We start from the raw sequence: 17,593 nt of genomic DNA, 5'->3' as shown, positions 1-17,593 counted from the left end.
AAGCTTTGTAACAAACCAGCCCAAAACTCACTTGCATACAATAGACATGAATCCTCACACCCATGGCTCTGCAAAGCAATTGCATGTCAGCTCCCTAAGCTCAACTCAGCTGGGCAGTTCTGCTTCAAGCTGCTGCATCAGCCAGGGTTGTCTCCTGGCTGTGGTTTGGGCTCAGGTCTCTCTCCATGTGGGTTCATTTGGGGCCCAGGCTGAAGAGGAAACAGCTATTTCGGGAAGCTCTTCTCATGGCAATGACAGAAGCACAGAAGGCAAAGATGAGCACATAAGCACTTCGGAAGCATTCATTTGCCTCGTGTTTCCTACCATTCATTGGCCAATCGAGTTCTGAGGCCATGCCCAAAGCCAAGAAGTGGGGAAGTACACACCACTTGTCTATTCACCATGAGGCCATAGGGGTGGAGACATAAAAGTCTTCTTTTTAGGGAGTGAAGAATTGGGACTCATAATACAATCTGCCACAGCCTGGGACCAGCCTTCTGGCATCTGCCTTTCTTACCTGTTAGCCAGGTTCAGAAATACCTGCCCCCTTTGAGCAAAGAGAATAGGAGTGACAGGGTTCCAGGCATGTGGAGTGACTTGAAATAAGCACAGCTTCTTGAGCCACTGCTCAACCACAAATTGCAGCCCTGGCAGTGAGGGCCTTGGAGCCATCACAGGGAGACTCCACAAAACCTTTATGTGGTCCCTGGCCAGCAGAAATAAAGCTTGGAAAGGCAGCCAGTGGTGACCAAAGGAGATGAAGGCGGGTGGAGATGCTTTGAGGAGCTCCCCAAGACCATGCCACTAAGACCCATGTGTATTACTGAGCTAAGAATTTGCCAGAAAAGGACTTACTTTTCTCAACTCTACTTCCTCTGCTCGGGGACAGTGACAAGGAAGGACAGCATGAGGTACAGCACCAAGTGCAGCGTCTGCACAGCTTGACAGTTCCTCCAGCAGCCTCTTGGAGTTTCTTAATGGGTCATCTTGCCTCTTTTTTTCTTTCTTTTTTGACAATTTTGAAGGAAATTGGGTACTTAAGAAACCTTTTGGACATTTAAATTAATTCCAACCATCAGGCTCAGTGTAGCCATCGTTGCATTAGCATCCAATTATAAGAGTAGAAATGGAGTAATAACTCACATTTTGACCATAATGTCAAATGCTTAAACAAATTAGAGATACACACAGAGACTGCATGCTATATCTGTGGAACATTTCTGAATGTAATCAGCAGAACAGCAGGCACCCTTCAGAATGTGAGCAGCAACAGGCAGAGTGAGACCCTATTGCCAGAGGAAAGCATCTTTCGAAATATCAGAGAAACCAGGTGGGAGTTGGGCAATGGGGGCCAGGACTCAGAAGCTGTAAAAATTCCTCCAGCTGCCATGGAGGACCCCCAGGCTCCCAGGTCCCCAAGCAATGGGCTCAGCTCATCAGATGGAGAAACTTATGAAGACCAAGGCCATGACTTAAAATCTGATTTGGGACCCTTTGCTCTCTTTTCAGTCATTCATTGCCTTGCTGTGCTAGGCCATTGTTTTGTAAATTTGTGGCCTTTGGAACTGGACAGGTTAGGAAGATGGTGATGAGGATGATGATGAGGATGATGATGATGATGATGATGATGATGATGATGATGATTGCATGTACAACAGCAAATGATAATTCTATTTACAATCATTTAAAACCAGACCAAACTACATTATATTATTTAAGGAAGCTTACCTTGGTGGCAAAAGGATAAAACCACCCAGATTCCCAGAAAGGTGATCTAGGGGGAAAGGAAGTGTAAATGGGGAAGGGCACATGAGTGATTTCTGGCCATAACTGTGAATGAAAAATACCAAAGGAGAGCTTGAGCAACAGCAGGAGGATTTTCTAAAATCAGGGGCCATTTGACCTCTTGTGAGTTATTTGAATTGAGAGCTCCTCGTCTAGGCCTTTTGGAATGGGTGAGAGGTAAGGAAAATTTCCAGGAAGAACAAGGCTATGGCATTATTTTTCCAAATCAGGAAACAGGTATCCAGACCTTGAGAACAACAGAGCCAGTTATGTAATGATACATGATAGGAGACATTTATCCAAAACCCATTTGAGATTACGTTGAAAAGAATAGTGATACCTATCTTTTGACTGAAAGATATCAGAATATTTCATAAAGATGATTGTATTAGTCTACCAGCAAAAGCCGTTCCCCTTTGACCCAAGGAGCTAAGCAGAGAACAGGTGTTTTCATATCCATGCTGCCATGCCGAAGATGAAATAATTTGTCAAGTCCACTCAAAAGGATTATTTCAACTCTTTTATTGTGGTAAAATACACATAAAAAAATTCACAGTGTTAATTATTTCTAAGTGTGCATTTGTAAGTACACTCACATTGTGGTGCAAGCATCACCACCCTCCATCTTCTGAACATTTTCATTTGCTCAAACAGAAAGTCTTTGCCCATTAAAGAGTAACTCCTTATTCCTCCCTTCCCTAGTCCCTGGCAACCACCGTACTACTTTCTGTCACTATGAATCTGACTACTCTAGGCACCTCACATAAGCAGAATCATGCAGTATTTGTCCTTTTATGTCTGGCTTATTTCACTTAGCATCATGTCCTCGAGGTTCATCCATGTTGTAGCATGTGTCAGAATTTCCTTCCTTTTTAAGGCTGAATAATATTCCATTGTATGGATATACCACATATTGTTTGTCCATTCATCTGTTGATGGATATTTGGGTTGCTTCCATCTTTTGGCTATTGTGAGTAGTTCCACTATGAACCTGAGTGTGCAAATGTCTCTTTGAGATCCTGCTTTTGGTTGTTTTGCAGGTGTACCCAGAAGCAAAACTGCCAGATCGTATAGTAATTCTGTTTAATTTTTTGAGGAACTGCTAAACTGCCTAATAGGTTTTTGCACAAAGCCAGGACGATGTCCCAAGACAATGTTGTGCAGACCCTACCCTAACCCTGCACACAATCCTTCTCCCCAAGCACAGTTTATGCACACATGGAGGTCCCCAGAGGTGATGGGGCTCCCATCTCTAGAAGCAGCGAAGGTGAAGTTGCAGCCACATCAATCAACACCTTTGCTAGAGTCTGGTGGCCAGGGGACAGACCTCAATATTTTGTGGTCTCTGAGACAATCTATCATTATGGCAGCTTAGGTCACGTCACCATCTGATTTGTTCTCCAAACAGAAGTCCCTCCCCCGCCCCTCTTACTTTCTTTTTTCACCTCTTCCTGTGGTCTGAATTCCCTCACTCAGTTAATTAGCATGCCTGGCACTGCAGCTTAAGACTTTAATCAGCGTGGGGTGGTTTTAATTAATCGTGTGGCTCTGCATCTGGAGTGGTTTGTGTTCCAGGGTCAGGAGAGGAGCTGGAGTTGGGGGATGGGAGAGGCAGCTTTGTATGGTGTAAGGCTGTGAGTGGCAAGTCTAGGTATTTGGGGAAAGAGAATCATAGAGACAAGGTGGCTCAGAGGCCATCTGGCCACCTGTGCAACATACTAGCAAGGTGTGGATAGTAACTGGGGACATAAGGGAATACATTTATACTAAGCTAAATGGTTGGACTAAATCCAGTTTTCAAAAGTGATTTAAAGTATTAGAAAAACTTCTGATGCTTTGCAGAATTAACCATGGGGTACAGAGTGAGGCAAAGCAATGATAGAGATGGAGAGCTGTGCAGCCAGTCTGGGAGGCCTTGGCCATGCTGGAGACTATTGCCTGATGGTGGGGCCTGGGAGATTTCCCTGGTTCTGTCCTTCCTTGGGAAGGTCCTGGCAAGGTGAAGGAGGTGGCACCTAGCTCTCAAATAATGGTAACCTTTCTACTTGGACTGTCAGAATCCTGTTGGCTCCCCAATTTGAATGTCCACACTTTAAAAAGAGTGGAGAGAACCTAGATCAAGTTCAGAAGAGAGTCATAAAAAATGGTTAAATCATAAATAGAAATATTCCGTAAGGAAAGACTACAGGCAGTTGGGTTGTTTACCTTTAAGATGAGAAAGCTCTAGCTGCCCAGATGATTGTCTTCAAGAGAAAGTTTTCTTGAAGGTAGACCTGGTGCCATTGTTATACATGTCCATGAAAACCAAACAAGTGAGATGAGGCTGACCTGAGAGACTTTGTCAGAGCATTAACAAGGAGCTTAGGATGTTAGGACTGAGAGGGAATTCAGACCTAACGCGCCCAGTTCCTCATTTTTCAGATCATCACAAAGAAGCCCAGGAGAGACTTGTCCAAGTTTACCCAGGAAACTGGGGGGCAGAGCTGTGGCTGGAACCCAGGACTCATAATACCTGTGCAGGACTTGTGTCCCTGTCTCACATGGACCCACCTAAATGAAAAGCTAAGAAAAGCAGATAGCTGTTCCAGAAGCTAATAAAGATAGTGAATAAGTCCTGGAAATGAGATAACTCCAGGTTTCATCCAAAGTGTGGAGCAATGAATGGCTTAGGGGCAAATATCATAGCTCAAGGAGGAAATGACACTATCAAGGTACTAAAAAAAAAAAGTTCTCCCAGGTCTGTTGAACTCCTGACAGAGTTCCTGAAGCCTTGGAAGACTGTCAGAGGAGTTTTCTGGGATGTCGGGGAGAGGTAAGTGACAGTACAAGGAGGATTGGGATATTAATGAAAAGGATAGCAGCGATCCATCATAGCCGTCACTTATAAAGTGCCAGACCATTTACAAAACCATTGCATCATCTGTGCTTTGGGAAACTGTGAATTGGGGTGGGGGTGGGGAGGAGGGATTTTTATCTCCATGTTAAGCCAGAATTTGAACCTAGCTCTGAGGGCTCTTGCATTCTTTCCAACCCAACAAAAAATGACTCATGTTTAAAATCAGGAGGAGGGACTTGACAATTCCAGGGTATGGACATTATTAAACACCAGTTTCAAAATATTTTAAGAATCTGAATGCAAAGGTTTTTGAGAATTTCAGATTCACCAAGCAGCTGGCTCTTGACTTGATGTGGAACATTCCAGAACATGCAGCCACATTCCATCCAAGGTGGATTATAGAACTTGTCAATAGGAGAAACTGAGGAGGATGGTAATTAAGTTTAGAGCGAGAAAATGCTTTTGATTGAGCAAGGCATGATTTTCTGTTTAAGCCTATGCAAAATATGGAGTGCTAGACAAGCAGCTGGAACATATGAAAACATTATTGTGTACTTATGTTTCCCAACTTTCACCATTTATGGCCCCTTTTATTATTTTTTCCCTCTGTGCATTATGTTTTGAAAGATTCTGTCTACTAAACAAACTGCATTTATTAAGTAATAACATATTTCCTATTTTTAATATGAGACATACATCACTGAGTATGAATAAAAAACATAAAACAGCAACAGTTCAATTGCCATTAGGCTTTGGGAAATATTGAAAATAGCGTGTGGACCTCATTACCACTCATGAATTACTAGGAGTCCAGGTACTTTGGGTTAGGAGCCACTATTTATATGCTTACATGACTAGCATGTCTATGCTCACTTAAGGAGTAGGAAGAGAAATTAAAGACGCAACAGAAAGAGGGCAAATTCTTGGCTGGTGTGGAGCCAGTGTGGGTAATTTGTAAGGAACTAATTGTTAAGGTTAATTAGTAGGATAGGAAGGTCATATGTAGGCAGACTCCAGGCACGGCTCATGCAGATTACATGAGCAGTAATAAAAGAAAAGATAAAATTCCAAATGTGCAAAAAAGACATCTGAGAAGGTGGAGGAAGGGCCACCAAGGTCAAGGTCACTGCCGTCAGAATGGGAGAGGTAAGCTAAAAGGTTGCTTGAAAGAAGTGAAAGCGCAGTGTGGTCATTAAGAACGCTCAGTGTGTACTTTGGAGAACAAAAAGATGCATAAAGGGAATAAGAAAGTTAAGGGAAAAGAGATCATGTGGGATTTGGAATTAATTATTAATTAATTCCAAAAGAGAGTTGGAGACTAATTGAGAAGCTCTGGTGCCAGTTTGCCTGTGCGTGAGTTACAAGTAGCCCCTGCCAAGCAGACATCATTTTACAGAGGCACATGCCCCATAAAACAGCAGGGGAAACACTGCCTCTGCATTTGCTCATGTAACAGAGAGGGTTCAGCCAGGTCAGCACAGTTTATAGTTTTCTGTGCCTGTTGTATGATGGCAAGAAATTTAAAAGGATGGCCACATCAAATTCTCTTAGCTCAAGCTGAAACATCAGGCAGGATTCTCCATTGAGATAAAAAGGTATCCCAACTGGAAGAGGATGATGTAAAATTAAAAAAAAAAAAATACTTTTTGTAAAGAAAAAAACCGGCAAAACGGAGAATAAAGACCAAGGTTATAAAAAGAAAATAAAAACTCCGTTTGATCCAGTGTATCATTATTAAATACCTACTATGTAGCAAGTGCTGGCAAGTTATGTAAAGAGACATCAAGGCAAAGCTACATTGGAGAACAAAGAAATTCAAAAGATATTTAAGAGCATGTAGGAAATGGAAGCATTTGGGCTAAGCAAAAATGTCATGTGGAACATTTTACATTAGCAGGCGGCTGGTGAAAGCTAATATAAAGTTTTGGGTTGGAGAGGAAGCCTCTAGTCATGAAAAGAGTGTGGGTAGGAGGAGAAATAGCAGCAGATGCTCTTTGAAAGCACCATAGTGAAAGCTTTTAGAGCCAGTTGGCCAACATTATGAGAAAGAAAGAGCGGGCAAGTAACAGCTACAGAGTGAGCTTATGATATCTTGGTAAATGGCAAGGAGGAAGAGAAAGAGAAGGGTCTTGGTCTCAGACTAAATGCTCTCTGGAGCAGCAAAAATGACGAAACTTGAAGGAGGACTGGAAAGAAGGGGAAACACTACAGAAAAAGAGAAACCATGAGAGAGTGAGAATGACCATTTGCACTTGTTACATTGATAGGAAACAAATACATGATGAATTGGCCATTTGTAGAGATATTTGGTGGTTTCAGAGGTAGAAAACTTGAAATGAACACTGTGTAAATATCTTTTCTGACAACTTAGTATGGACTGTATGGAGTCTGTATTCATGGAGACTGCTAAGAAAATAATATGGCTGCTTGTCTCCCTGGATGCATATGTGGCCACCTACTCAAACATAATCACTCAAGTTCCCTTCCCACACTGGGCTCCAAGCACCTTCATGCTCCTGCAACATTTCAGGTGATACACTTGATATTTAGAGCAACATCTCTTCTGGTACACTGCTGGGTGTTCTGCAAAATCTTGACCACCTTCTCCCTATCCTGCTGTCCTAGCTCACCAGAGTCCCTGTGGAGTCCTGTGGTCAGTATCAGAGCTGCGGCGAGTGCCTTGGCTCAGGCGACCCCCACTGTGGCTGGTGTGTGCTGCACAACACGTGAGTACCATGGGGAGGCTGCCTCGTGCCTCCCACTTCCTCCTGGTAATTCCCTTCCTCTGCTTCTCTGTCATCACTGCCCTTCCCTTTGATCTGTCTTTTCTCCTCAGCTATTCTTGCTCTTCCTTCCTTGCATCCTTTCCAAATGTTATCTCCCTTCCTTTGTTCTTTCTGACTTCCCTTTAAATTTGCCAAATTCCCTTAAGAAATATATGGCAACGGTGGCATGGGAATCATGACAGGTCAGGATATAGTTGTCATGCTGGGCAATCATACATTGGAGGGCTGGAGGAAGCAGGATTCCTGGACTTTCCTGACTGTGGCTTACTGGGCTAGAGACTGACTTTCCAGGACTGAACACCAGGAAAAAGGCATTGGATCTTTTTTTCTGTAGCTTCTTACTGGCCCCGAAATCATAAACAAGATATATGCTGTCCCTTTAGTGATTCCACATCTCCTTAACATCTACTTCAACAGCTCCAAAGGATTTTCTGGTTTGGGTCTGCAGTTGAAGTGTGTAGCACCTGAGGACCCTCCCACTGCTGCCAAACACCCATTAGCTGGCTGTGAGTGCACTTGGGCTGGAGTCACTGGGCCAATAAAGCCCGGCCTGAGTGCTGGCCTCTTGCCAATGTGCCTCCTTTTGTGTGGCTCCATTTTATTATTCAGAAGAGGGAAGAAGGCAATGGCATTATAGTGGAGGTAAACAGTAAATAAACCAAAGGGCAGGAATAGGGCTCAGACAACCAGAAAGCTGAAGGCTTTTCTTTGGGGATCCGAAGACCCTTGCCATCAATACCTGGAGAAGCCAACGAATGGTTGGACCTCACTCTGATGAAATTTGATTCCAGTCCAGCTATTGTTGTTTCTGGCCAACAATTGAAATGTGCCACTTTGTGAGCTGGATCCAGACATTATAAATTAAGAAGAAAAACCTTAGTCTTCCTACTAAGAACCTGAACTACATGTGACCAATGACATTTACCAATAATTTTCAAGTATAAGAAGGTGGGGCAGGATCTTGTCTTCTCCCCTCCCCTTTGCAAAGAGTGCCCTTAAAATTCGGAAACACCCTCTTAAACTCGAATACATCTCTGGGTGGCAGTCTCAGGCATAGTGAGTCCTTGAGTTCCTTAGGGGAAGGTCTGAAATTCCTCAGGTAGGTTACAGTGGAAAAAAGTCAAGAACCACTGAGCTACACTGAAGTATACATAACTCAGTCTATGGCCGTGCCACCCTGAACGTGCCCAGTCTTGTCTGAAACATACATAACTCACAGACAGATCAGAAACTGTGCACTCAAGTGTATAGAAAGGTTGCATGCTAACAGAGCAGGGGAGCCTAGGAGTGGCCAGCATAGAAGAGGATGGCAGAGGTTGCATTCAGAATGCAGATTGGCTCAGATCAGGCCAGAATTGTTCCCTGAATGATACCTTGCCAGGCAGACAGGGGGCAGTTTTCTTTGTGTCACCCAGTGAGGCCTCTGAGGAAGGGACTGTACTCTAAACTCATTGCCTTACTTGGGGGCCTTGACTACCCTGTTTTCTGCTTGGCTGAGGATAGCTCTGCGATCCTGGCATGGGGCTTTCCTACCTGGCATAATTCAAAGGCAATCGGAAAATCTGGTCCCTCCCTGACACTCCATGCCCAGTGGCAATTTCCATGTCAGCTTTGGTCTCTGCCCACAATGCTGTCCCAGCCCCACAGAGCACGGAGCCCTGTGAACAGAGGGGCTCCAAGGCTTGGAGAAGGCACCAGAGAGACTGTGAGAACCCCCACCTCCCACCCCCAGGGCTGCAAGGTAAGCAGACATGAGAGGAGGAGGCACAAGACAGTACTTCCTTTATGGCCTCAGTTTACCCTTCTGTAACATCATACCTGCCTCCTGTCAAGTGGAAGAAAACAGGGGTGGATGGAGGCCAAGGTGAAGTCTGGGCAGTTCATGAAGGGGGCCCTCAGCCTGCACGGGGAAGCCAGCTGCTCCAGTCTCAGCATGGCATAAAAACAGCCATGGACATGAATTTTGGGCGCCTGCCCCCAAGTGCAGACTCCTCATCCCAGCTCTTCCTCTGTGAATTGGACATGGTGATGCCTGTCTCCCCTGCCTCACTGAGTCACTGGGGAATCAAATGAGATGGTATGAGGACCAATGACTGGTGAGCTGTGGATCACTGGGAAATGTAGTGTAGGGTGGGGCAGGAATGTTGACAAGGCTGGGGAAGGACTGTGAGCTCATGGGTGCCCCCCCCCCTCTTGTGACTCTGTTGATCCCTGGTGATTTTCCAGATGGCTCTACTGTAACTGCATGCTTCTCTTCCTGGGGGGTTCCCAGCCTTTGTCTAAGTGGCAGGTACTCCTGCTAGATCCTCCTCACCCCTTTAGTCTGGCACCATGTTTTATTCTGACACTTGTATATCTTATTCGTGTTTCCATGTAGCACCAGCCCTTGTTAAGCACAGGCTCTCAGAAGGCAGGGGCTGTGCAAGTGTTGTTGTCTTTGTGGTCATCATTGTCTGCTGCTGCTGCTGGCACCTCGTTGCTCAAGGAGCCACAGTGGAGCCAGCGCATTGAAGCACTGGGGGACACTGGGAAGATTACTGGAGTGGAAATCAGTGGACTCAAGTTCACATGCCTTGGAAACTTGTTGTGGGGCTTTAAACAAGTGCAGTCAGTTCTCATTGCACATGGTAGATATGTTCCATAAAGTCGCTGGAACACGGAGTTAGTGAATACCAAGCCATTGCTCCTAGGAGAAATACAGGGTTAGGTTCCTGGGAGCCTCTGGTCACATTTTCATCAACAAATCCATCTATAACCTTGTTTTGTGTGTGTTTCTGTTTAAAGACATTTTACTTAATATATATAATAGATTCATTAAGCTTGACCTCACTGCCAACAGCACTATAACACATACCTGAACAAGGCTTATCCAACACAGCTATTTTCTCCATAAGGCACACCATGGCCTTCTTGCACTCAGGATCACTAGACAGACCTTCAGCACTACATTCGGGGACTATTTTAAGCGGCAAAATCACCTGCAAAATGAGAAAAATGTGGCATGAAATAGGGCTTGAAGAGGACACTTGTTCATAGAGCGAGAGCTAAAACAAGAAGCTGAGGCTGCCTTATCCCACCTCAGCTGGGAGTGTGCGTGCCAGATCACTCAAATTTTTCACTGCCCTGTACGTGTCCACGGGTACCGATTTTTGTCACAAATAAACGTTAGCAGTTACTTGAATTTGCAAATAGATTCCACGATAACTCCGTATGTCAGAAACTTGGCATCCTTGTTTCAAAGAGGGAGAACGGTACCTTCTCACAGTGATGGCACGAGGATAAAAAGAGGTGATTGATATAGGATGTTACAGAATTCCAAGATGCTCTGTCAGGGCAAGGTGCTGTCATTCGTAACCTTGAGCCTCCTGGTTATGTCCGTGACCTGAGGAAGGCAGACACAGGTATAAATTTGTGCCAATGTGTCTGGTAAAGCCCAACTCTTCCAGGACAAAGCTCAAGAGCCCCCATAGGCCAAGGCTGCCTGCCCGCTGAGGCACTCAGTAAATCCATCCTCCCTCCCTCTCAGAGTTATGACCAAGGAGAGCCCCCTGGCAACTATAAGAAGGTGGGGGTAAAATCTTGTCTTCCCCCACTCCCTTGCGAAGAGTGCCTCTAAAAGCTAAAAATACCCTCTTAAACTCGAATACATCCTTGATACAAGAGCAGGCACCCTCCCCATCTCTGAGTGGCAGTCTGAGGCATAATGAGTCCTTGAGTTCCTTAAGGGAAAGTCTGAAATCCCTCAGGTATGGATTTCTGAGGTCCTGAAATCCAGGTTCTAAAATCCGGTCCTGGATAAGTAGAGTAGGTCCCTGGATTTCTAAGATATTTTTAATAAAGGTACAATTTTAAATGTAGATGGAATGAGATGCACAGATCTTAAGTGTACAGCTTGAAAGCTTTGACAAAGACAAACACGCTTGTAATCCACATGTCTATCAAGATATAGAACACTTTCTTTATCCAGAGAGCTCTCTCCTTCTTCCCAGTGGGCCTTTCTTCCCTAGTTCCTCAGGTTCAGGTCAAAGCCAGATATTGCTCCTCCTGATCTGCCCTCCCTTTCACTTTTCTTAAGAGTAAACTGGACATCCATGGCTTGGAGAGACACATGAGGAAGTGGGCTCAGCAGGAGAGAAAGGAGAAGGCTGGGGGCTGGCAGTTCAGTACAGGAGGTTGACGGCAGCCAGAGAGAGCCTATGGATGCTTGCTCTGAAGGGCATCCATTTTCTAGGAAGGGAGACAGGTGGCAAGAGTGGGAGGTTTAATTGCTTCCAAGGAGTGCTGTGTCCACACTCACAAATTTGTCCGTAGATCTCTCAGACCTGCCCTTCTCCCTTCGTGCCCAGCAGTGTGCCAGGCTCAGTGATATGAAGGCGACTCTGTTAGGTCATCTCTGCCCTAAAGATTTTGGGGAACCAGGCCTTGGATTCACAGTGGGAGTTTACTAGAATCAATGCATTTGTTAGGCCCCCACCATGGGCAAGACCCTGTGCCAAGTGACTCGGTTGCTTGCTAAGTGGCCTCAACAAGCCTGATCTTCACTCAGGAAGACCAGGACGGCAGGAAAAGAGTTCCTTGAGGTGTCAAGAGAAGTCCATTTTCTCAGTCACTTTTGCCAACTTTCCCCATGGTTGGAGGGAGTGAGGTGGTGGTAGCATTGTGGAAGAGAAGGGCAGCAGATGGGTGTATGAGAGACAGAGACAGACAGAGACAGCAAGAGAGGAAGAAGGAAAAGGCAGAGAGAGGGGTTGAGAGTCAGCACATGTGATTGAGCAGTGCAAGGTCAGGGCCTCTGTAAACAGGTGGCTCATGTGGCTGAATGGGCTGTTTGTAGCAGCAAAGTCCCAGGTGGGTTGCACAAAACATGCTTAAGAAAGGCTCGTGTAATTTAAATCCTCTCTCCTGCTACTCTCAATTGTCATGAAGCACTCGCCTGCCAACCTGGTAGCACACAGGGTCACTCAGTTGCTCTCTTTTGCAGCCCCTGACCCTGGCCCACAGGCTTGCCCATCTCTGATGGCAATGACAGCTTCAGCAATGCTAAGTATTGAGGTGGCCCTGAGTTTTGAGCCTTTATTCCTTGTTCCTGAGCTGACTCATTCTGACTTGGGTGAAGGTAAAGGAAAGCGTACAAGCCCACCCTGCCTTCGCCCTATCACAGCTATCTCCTGTCCTGGGCCAGAAACATTTTCTCCAGTGACCAGGCTTGGCAGGTCCCCAGCCCCCTCTCCATCTTCCCCTCCCATGGCTTCGTGCCCAGGCAAAGAAGCCTGTCTCAGTCTCAGCAGGTAATGGGATCCTGCCCAGCAGACCCAGCCGCATCGATTGGCCCAGGCGTTACCTTTCTTAAGAAAAGTCATCAGCATCACTCCTGGGAGGCTCATGTAACCCAAGACATCACAGGGGAAGGATAAGATCAGCTTTCATAAAGTCTCCCTTTCACCCCCTCACGACCCTGCCTCTTCCCAGATTTCTTCTGTTGGAAGAATGCCCTCCTCTGGATAGGTTGGCAGGGGTTACTTTTCAAGAGTCACTCCTATTCTTTTCTATATGGTTTCTTCCAAGATGGCAAGTGGAAAGACAAGAAAGACACTGCTTTTCAGAGCAGAAGAGATGAGTTACAACTTAGTTACAACTGAGGACCTGTCTAAGAACAGACCCAGTCTGGGTTTAGTTTCTTCAGCTCTAATTTCATAGCCATGCTATGAAAATTAAGGGAGGGGACCTGCATGAAGCCCCTCGCTGGGCCTACAATGCAGCAGGTCCTCATGCCTGAAGTGGCCCAAAGGGCCTCGACTGTGGGAGCAGAGGCTGGAGTTGGATCCCAGTGCCTCCTCCTGGTCCCCCTCCCCTTCCATTCCTCTCCTCCCCAGGACTGGAGGGCTGTGGCTGGTGCTGGAGCCAGCCCACTGTTGGGAAGTCTTCCTCCCCTTGGAAGGCTTCAACCAGCCATGCCAATGTCCACTTAATGACACACAAGCTGATTGCAAAATGCAAGCCCTGCCTTGCTTCACTGAGGCACATCCCACAGCCTTGCTATCTCATTTTTTAAACCTATATTCAAGGGCTACTTAACACTAATCTGCTGGTCACTGATCTCTCCTAGGGCTGCTTGCACAAGGCCTACACAGTCATGAGGAATGGTTGGTGTCCACTTCCACCCAGCAAACTCTTTGCAGTCTGTGCAAGGAGATTTTCCTTGACTCTTTGCCAAAAAGCTATCAGCCTCTGTTCCAAAGAAATGAGTCCCAGACTAGATCAGATACTAGTACATTGGAATTTTCCTCTCCAATGGCTTAGCAGAGACATAGTATGACTTAAGGAAATGGGCCTTTTCTTTTTTAACCCTGCCCCCCGCCAAGCCCCCAATACACATACACACACACACACACACACACACACACACACAAAACACATGCTTCATGACCAGAGAATGGTAAGTCAAAAATGCCATCTTCCCATATAAATTAGAAAAGCCCTGTGGTCTGCTCAAGCTCTCAATGTCCCTCCCAGTCTATTGACTTGGATACCTGTGGACAACCAGAGGAGCTGGCCTACCTCTGAGGCTTCACTCCAGACATACACACCCATATTCCAGCATTCACACACTTCATTCAATCATGCTGCACTGGGCCACATAGGATGGAGCAGCCCAGCCTGCACAGAGCAAAGTGCTCCCCTGCACCAAGCCTACTGGACTTGGTGACGTTAATGGACATGAAGACACCAGGCTGTTGGATAAAGTATAGTGTAAAGTTGATGAGAATCAACTGGAGTCATTGTTGGAATGTGTCTCAGGTAATAGGCAGCATTCTCCTTGTTACCGACTGGATTAGAAAGAGAATGGATTCACCTGTGGCGATGCCTTTGCTGTCTCCTCCTCCTTTTTCCCTTCTCCTGCCGTTCCCTCCCTCTCCCTCCCTCCACTCCTGCTCTGCTCCACACCTGTTCTTTCCTAACCTCTCCTCAACCTTAGTAGAAAATTAATAGGCCCTAATAGAGCTAGCCACTGATGAAGAAAAGAGAAAGACAAGCCCACTTCACTTTCTCTTTTGGCAGCTGCTACATGTAATTTGGTTTGGTTTGGGATCATCTGGAAAAAAACGAACATTTACAGGTCCTTTTTACCTCTCACCTAAGGTTTTGTTCAATAGATTGTTCATTCAAAGCATGGCTACCAAGGTCAGAATCCAGTCAGGGACCCAGGGCAGAACATGGCTTCTCAATGAAGGCTGCAAGCCCAGCATCTGAGCTGATTATGGTGGGACAGGTTGCCTTGGTTGCTATATAAGCCCAGAAAGGTTCTTGGGTCTCCACTCAACCCCTGAACCTGCTGGTTTCTGCTAAGTCCTATGCCCTCCTTCTGTAGGGGATGCATGGGTAAATCTGATTCAGCTGCTTCTTAGGTTAATTTTGGATCTTTAGAGATGGCAAAGGACCATGGGCCCAGTTGCCAGCAACTGATGGCAGAGGGAAAATTACAGTAGAACCTTGGGCTTCCTATCTTGGGATTCATCCTAAGTATTACATGGCACAACCCAAATACTTCAACTTCCTTGAGACCATGGTATCAGTCATTGGATCCTAGAATTGTAACATTGAAAGGACTCATCTGATCTACCCCTACATATAAGAAACCTCTTACACACCCACCTGCCTAGGAAGGATCCTATACTAGCTACTCCACTTCCTCCAAGCCACACATATGCATCTATCCATTACTGTGGTCATTCTTAAGGAGGACAAGGATAATGAATTAGGAATTCTAGTCTCTTCCCTTGTCAGGGTCCCCAGATGTGATGACAATGACCAAAGCTTCCAATAATCTCCTAGGTGAGTAGGCATTCTAAATTATCTTAACTTTTCTATTAGGTCTGCTGGGGAAGGCCCTCATCCTTACCCCCTTTCTTTTTCAATCTTCTCAATTCTAAGCACAGATGGTGCACCTTAAGCATAGGTCATGGCAAATGTGAAATGTTAAGGATTGGGGATCATCTGCAGGGAGAAGTAGGGAGCAAGTTCTGATGCCTAAGCCTGGTAAACACATGCTAGAGAGCCCAGGGAGATGGATCAGCAACAGCCCCTCCAAGCTTGGCGGTTCACTCAGGCTGGACTCACAGATAGCCCTGTTTCCAAATTGAAATTTGTTTGCCTGGCCAGCGGCACCGGGAGTTAATATTTCTATCGCTGTATTTGGGAATTAATTTCTAGAGGACTTAATCACCACCTCTCTCCCTCTCCCTCACCCCCTTCCTTCCTTCATTCCTCTCCCTTCTAATTTTCCACTTGGCTGGGAATTCTCCAGCAGTGAAAGTTCAGGCTTAGGGGAGGGCGGAGGTAGCTGCTTCATTAGAGAGGATAATCTCATTGGAACCACTGGCTTGAATAATAACCCCTTCCAGGGGCCCTAGAGCCTTTCTCCCCAAGGGCTTTTTGCACCTTTGATCTGAGGCTGGAGAAGATGAAATGCAGAGAAGTGGAATGAGGAAGAGAGGTCAGAAGAGGTTAGCAGGGAGGGACTCCAGCTCTAGGGGTCTGGTGTGTCCTCTTGGGGTCGGCTTCCTGCTGGCCATCTGAAGGTTTGCATTTGGGGCGGGGGTGACACTGGCATGCAGAGAAGAATGTCAGAAAACTCCAAGTCACACAGTATATGCACTGTCTGAATCCGTTTTCAGCTCTAGTTTTCCTACCTGGGAAATGGATGAAGCAGGGGATTCCTTCATGTCAAGGGGCCTGTACAGTGGAGCTGAGGGACATGCTTTAGGAGTACCTGAGGCCTCTTGGAATGAAACATCTAAGCCACTACCCCTGCCTCTCAGGTCGTGAATTAACATTTTGCTCTGGTTCCCAGATCTAGTCTGGGCTGTTGGGAATTGCAGTCCTAGAAAAGCAGAAGACCATTCCCTTGACAGACCCCACAAGAAACCAGCAGGAATTCGTGCCTCGCCTTCCATTATCCTATCACATTTAAGGTCAATTGTCTGTGCTTTTGGACATTTGTAGCCTCCACCCTCATGAATCCTGGAGGATAGTAGAAATGTCAAAACATCCCTGGCTCTGACCTTACACTTGACTTTCCACTAAGATAGCTGAGTTCTCAATACCCTTTGACAACTAGTAAGAAAACAGAGCTATGATCCAGACCATTCTTTCGCTCTTTTCTCCCTCCTGGCCTCTGGGTTGTCCTTCTCCTTTATTAGGAGGAAAACTGCTGCAGCCGTGCCTTTCTTTTGTCTTTGATTTGCCCCAAGGGCCAGTCATGGAGAAGATGTGTGGTTCTGGGCTGGGCATGGTGGCTCACGCCTGTAATCCCAGCACTCTAGGAGGCCGAGATGAGTGGATTGCTTTAGCTTAGGAGTTTGAGACTAGCCTGGGCAACATGGTGAAACCCCATCTCTACCAAAAAAATACAAGTTAGTTGGGCATGGCGGTGTGTGCCTGTAGTCCCAGCTACTTGGGAGGCTGAGGTGGGAGGATGGCTTGAGCCCAGGAGGTGGAGGTTGCAGAGAGCTGAGATTACGCCACTGCATTCCAGCCTGGGCTACAGAGCCAGACTCTGTCTCAAAAAATAAAAATAAAAAACACTCATTCTAAAAATAAGATAAAAAATAAAATAAATCTGTGGTTCTGCATCAGCTACAGTTTGGAGAGGTCAAATGAGGATGTCAGAGAAAGGATAAGATGATAATACTAGCTAACATTTATGAGGGCTTACTATGAGCTATGTCCTGTCCTTAATGCTTTACTCACATAATCTCATTTAATCCTCATAATAACCGTATTAGGTAGGTACTGTTTTGTCCCCAATGTATAGATGAGAAAGCTGAGGCACCAAGAAGTTAAGTAATTTGCCCAAGATTATACAGTGATGTTTAAAATTGTAAATTACAGGTGGCTTCCCTATAAAACCTAAAATTGGGGGAAGATGATGAGTAGTTTCTTTGGGGCTTTCAGGAGCAGTGGCAAGATGCAACCCCATGAACTTTGGAAGCAGCAAGCAATGCAGGTAGAATTTGTCCTGAGATCCCCCGAGCAAACACCTGTGTGCCACCTCTTCCTCCCTACCCCTGGAAGAGAGATAGAGTCCTGTCTTTTCTATCTGAATCTCTATTTGGTAACTCCAGGTGATGTTTGGCCTGGAAACAGCTCTGCTTTTCGCTCTCTTCATAATTTAATCAAAGACATT

General features: G+C 45.8%; 1 protein-coding gene across 8 annotated transcripts in view; it reads left to right on the top strand.

Annotated features, from left to right (window-relative positions):
• The window catches only part of PLXNA4 (plexin A4), a 525,349-nt gene that overhangs the window by 400,276 nt on the left and 107,480 nt on the right, over positions 1-17,593 (top strand). For all 8 annotated transcript variants that reach the window (XR_927546.3, NM_001393897.1, XM_017012779.1 and 5 more), the window contains one exon: positions 7,247-7,347. Coding sequence is in view for 7 of the 8 variants with exons in the window: in NM_001393897.1 (NP_001380826.1) it covers positions 7,247-7,347 (101 nt within the window). In the remaining variant the exon portion in view is untranslated. The remainder of the gene's footprint in view (positions 1-7,246; positions 7,348-17,593) is intronic.

The sequence above is a fragment of the Homo sapiens genome, chromosome 7 (assembly GCF_000001405.40).
Source record: "Homo sapiens chromosome 7, GRCh38.p14 Primary Assembly".
Lineage (NCBI taxonomy): Eukaryota > Metazoa > Chordata > Mammalia > Primates > Hominidae > Homo > Homo sapiens.
Note: the sequence above shows the minus strand (reverse complement) of the source record. Positions and strands in the feature narration are given on the sequence as shown.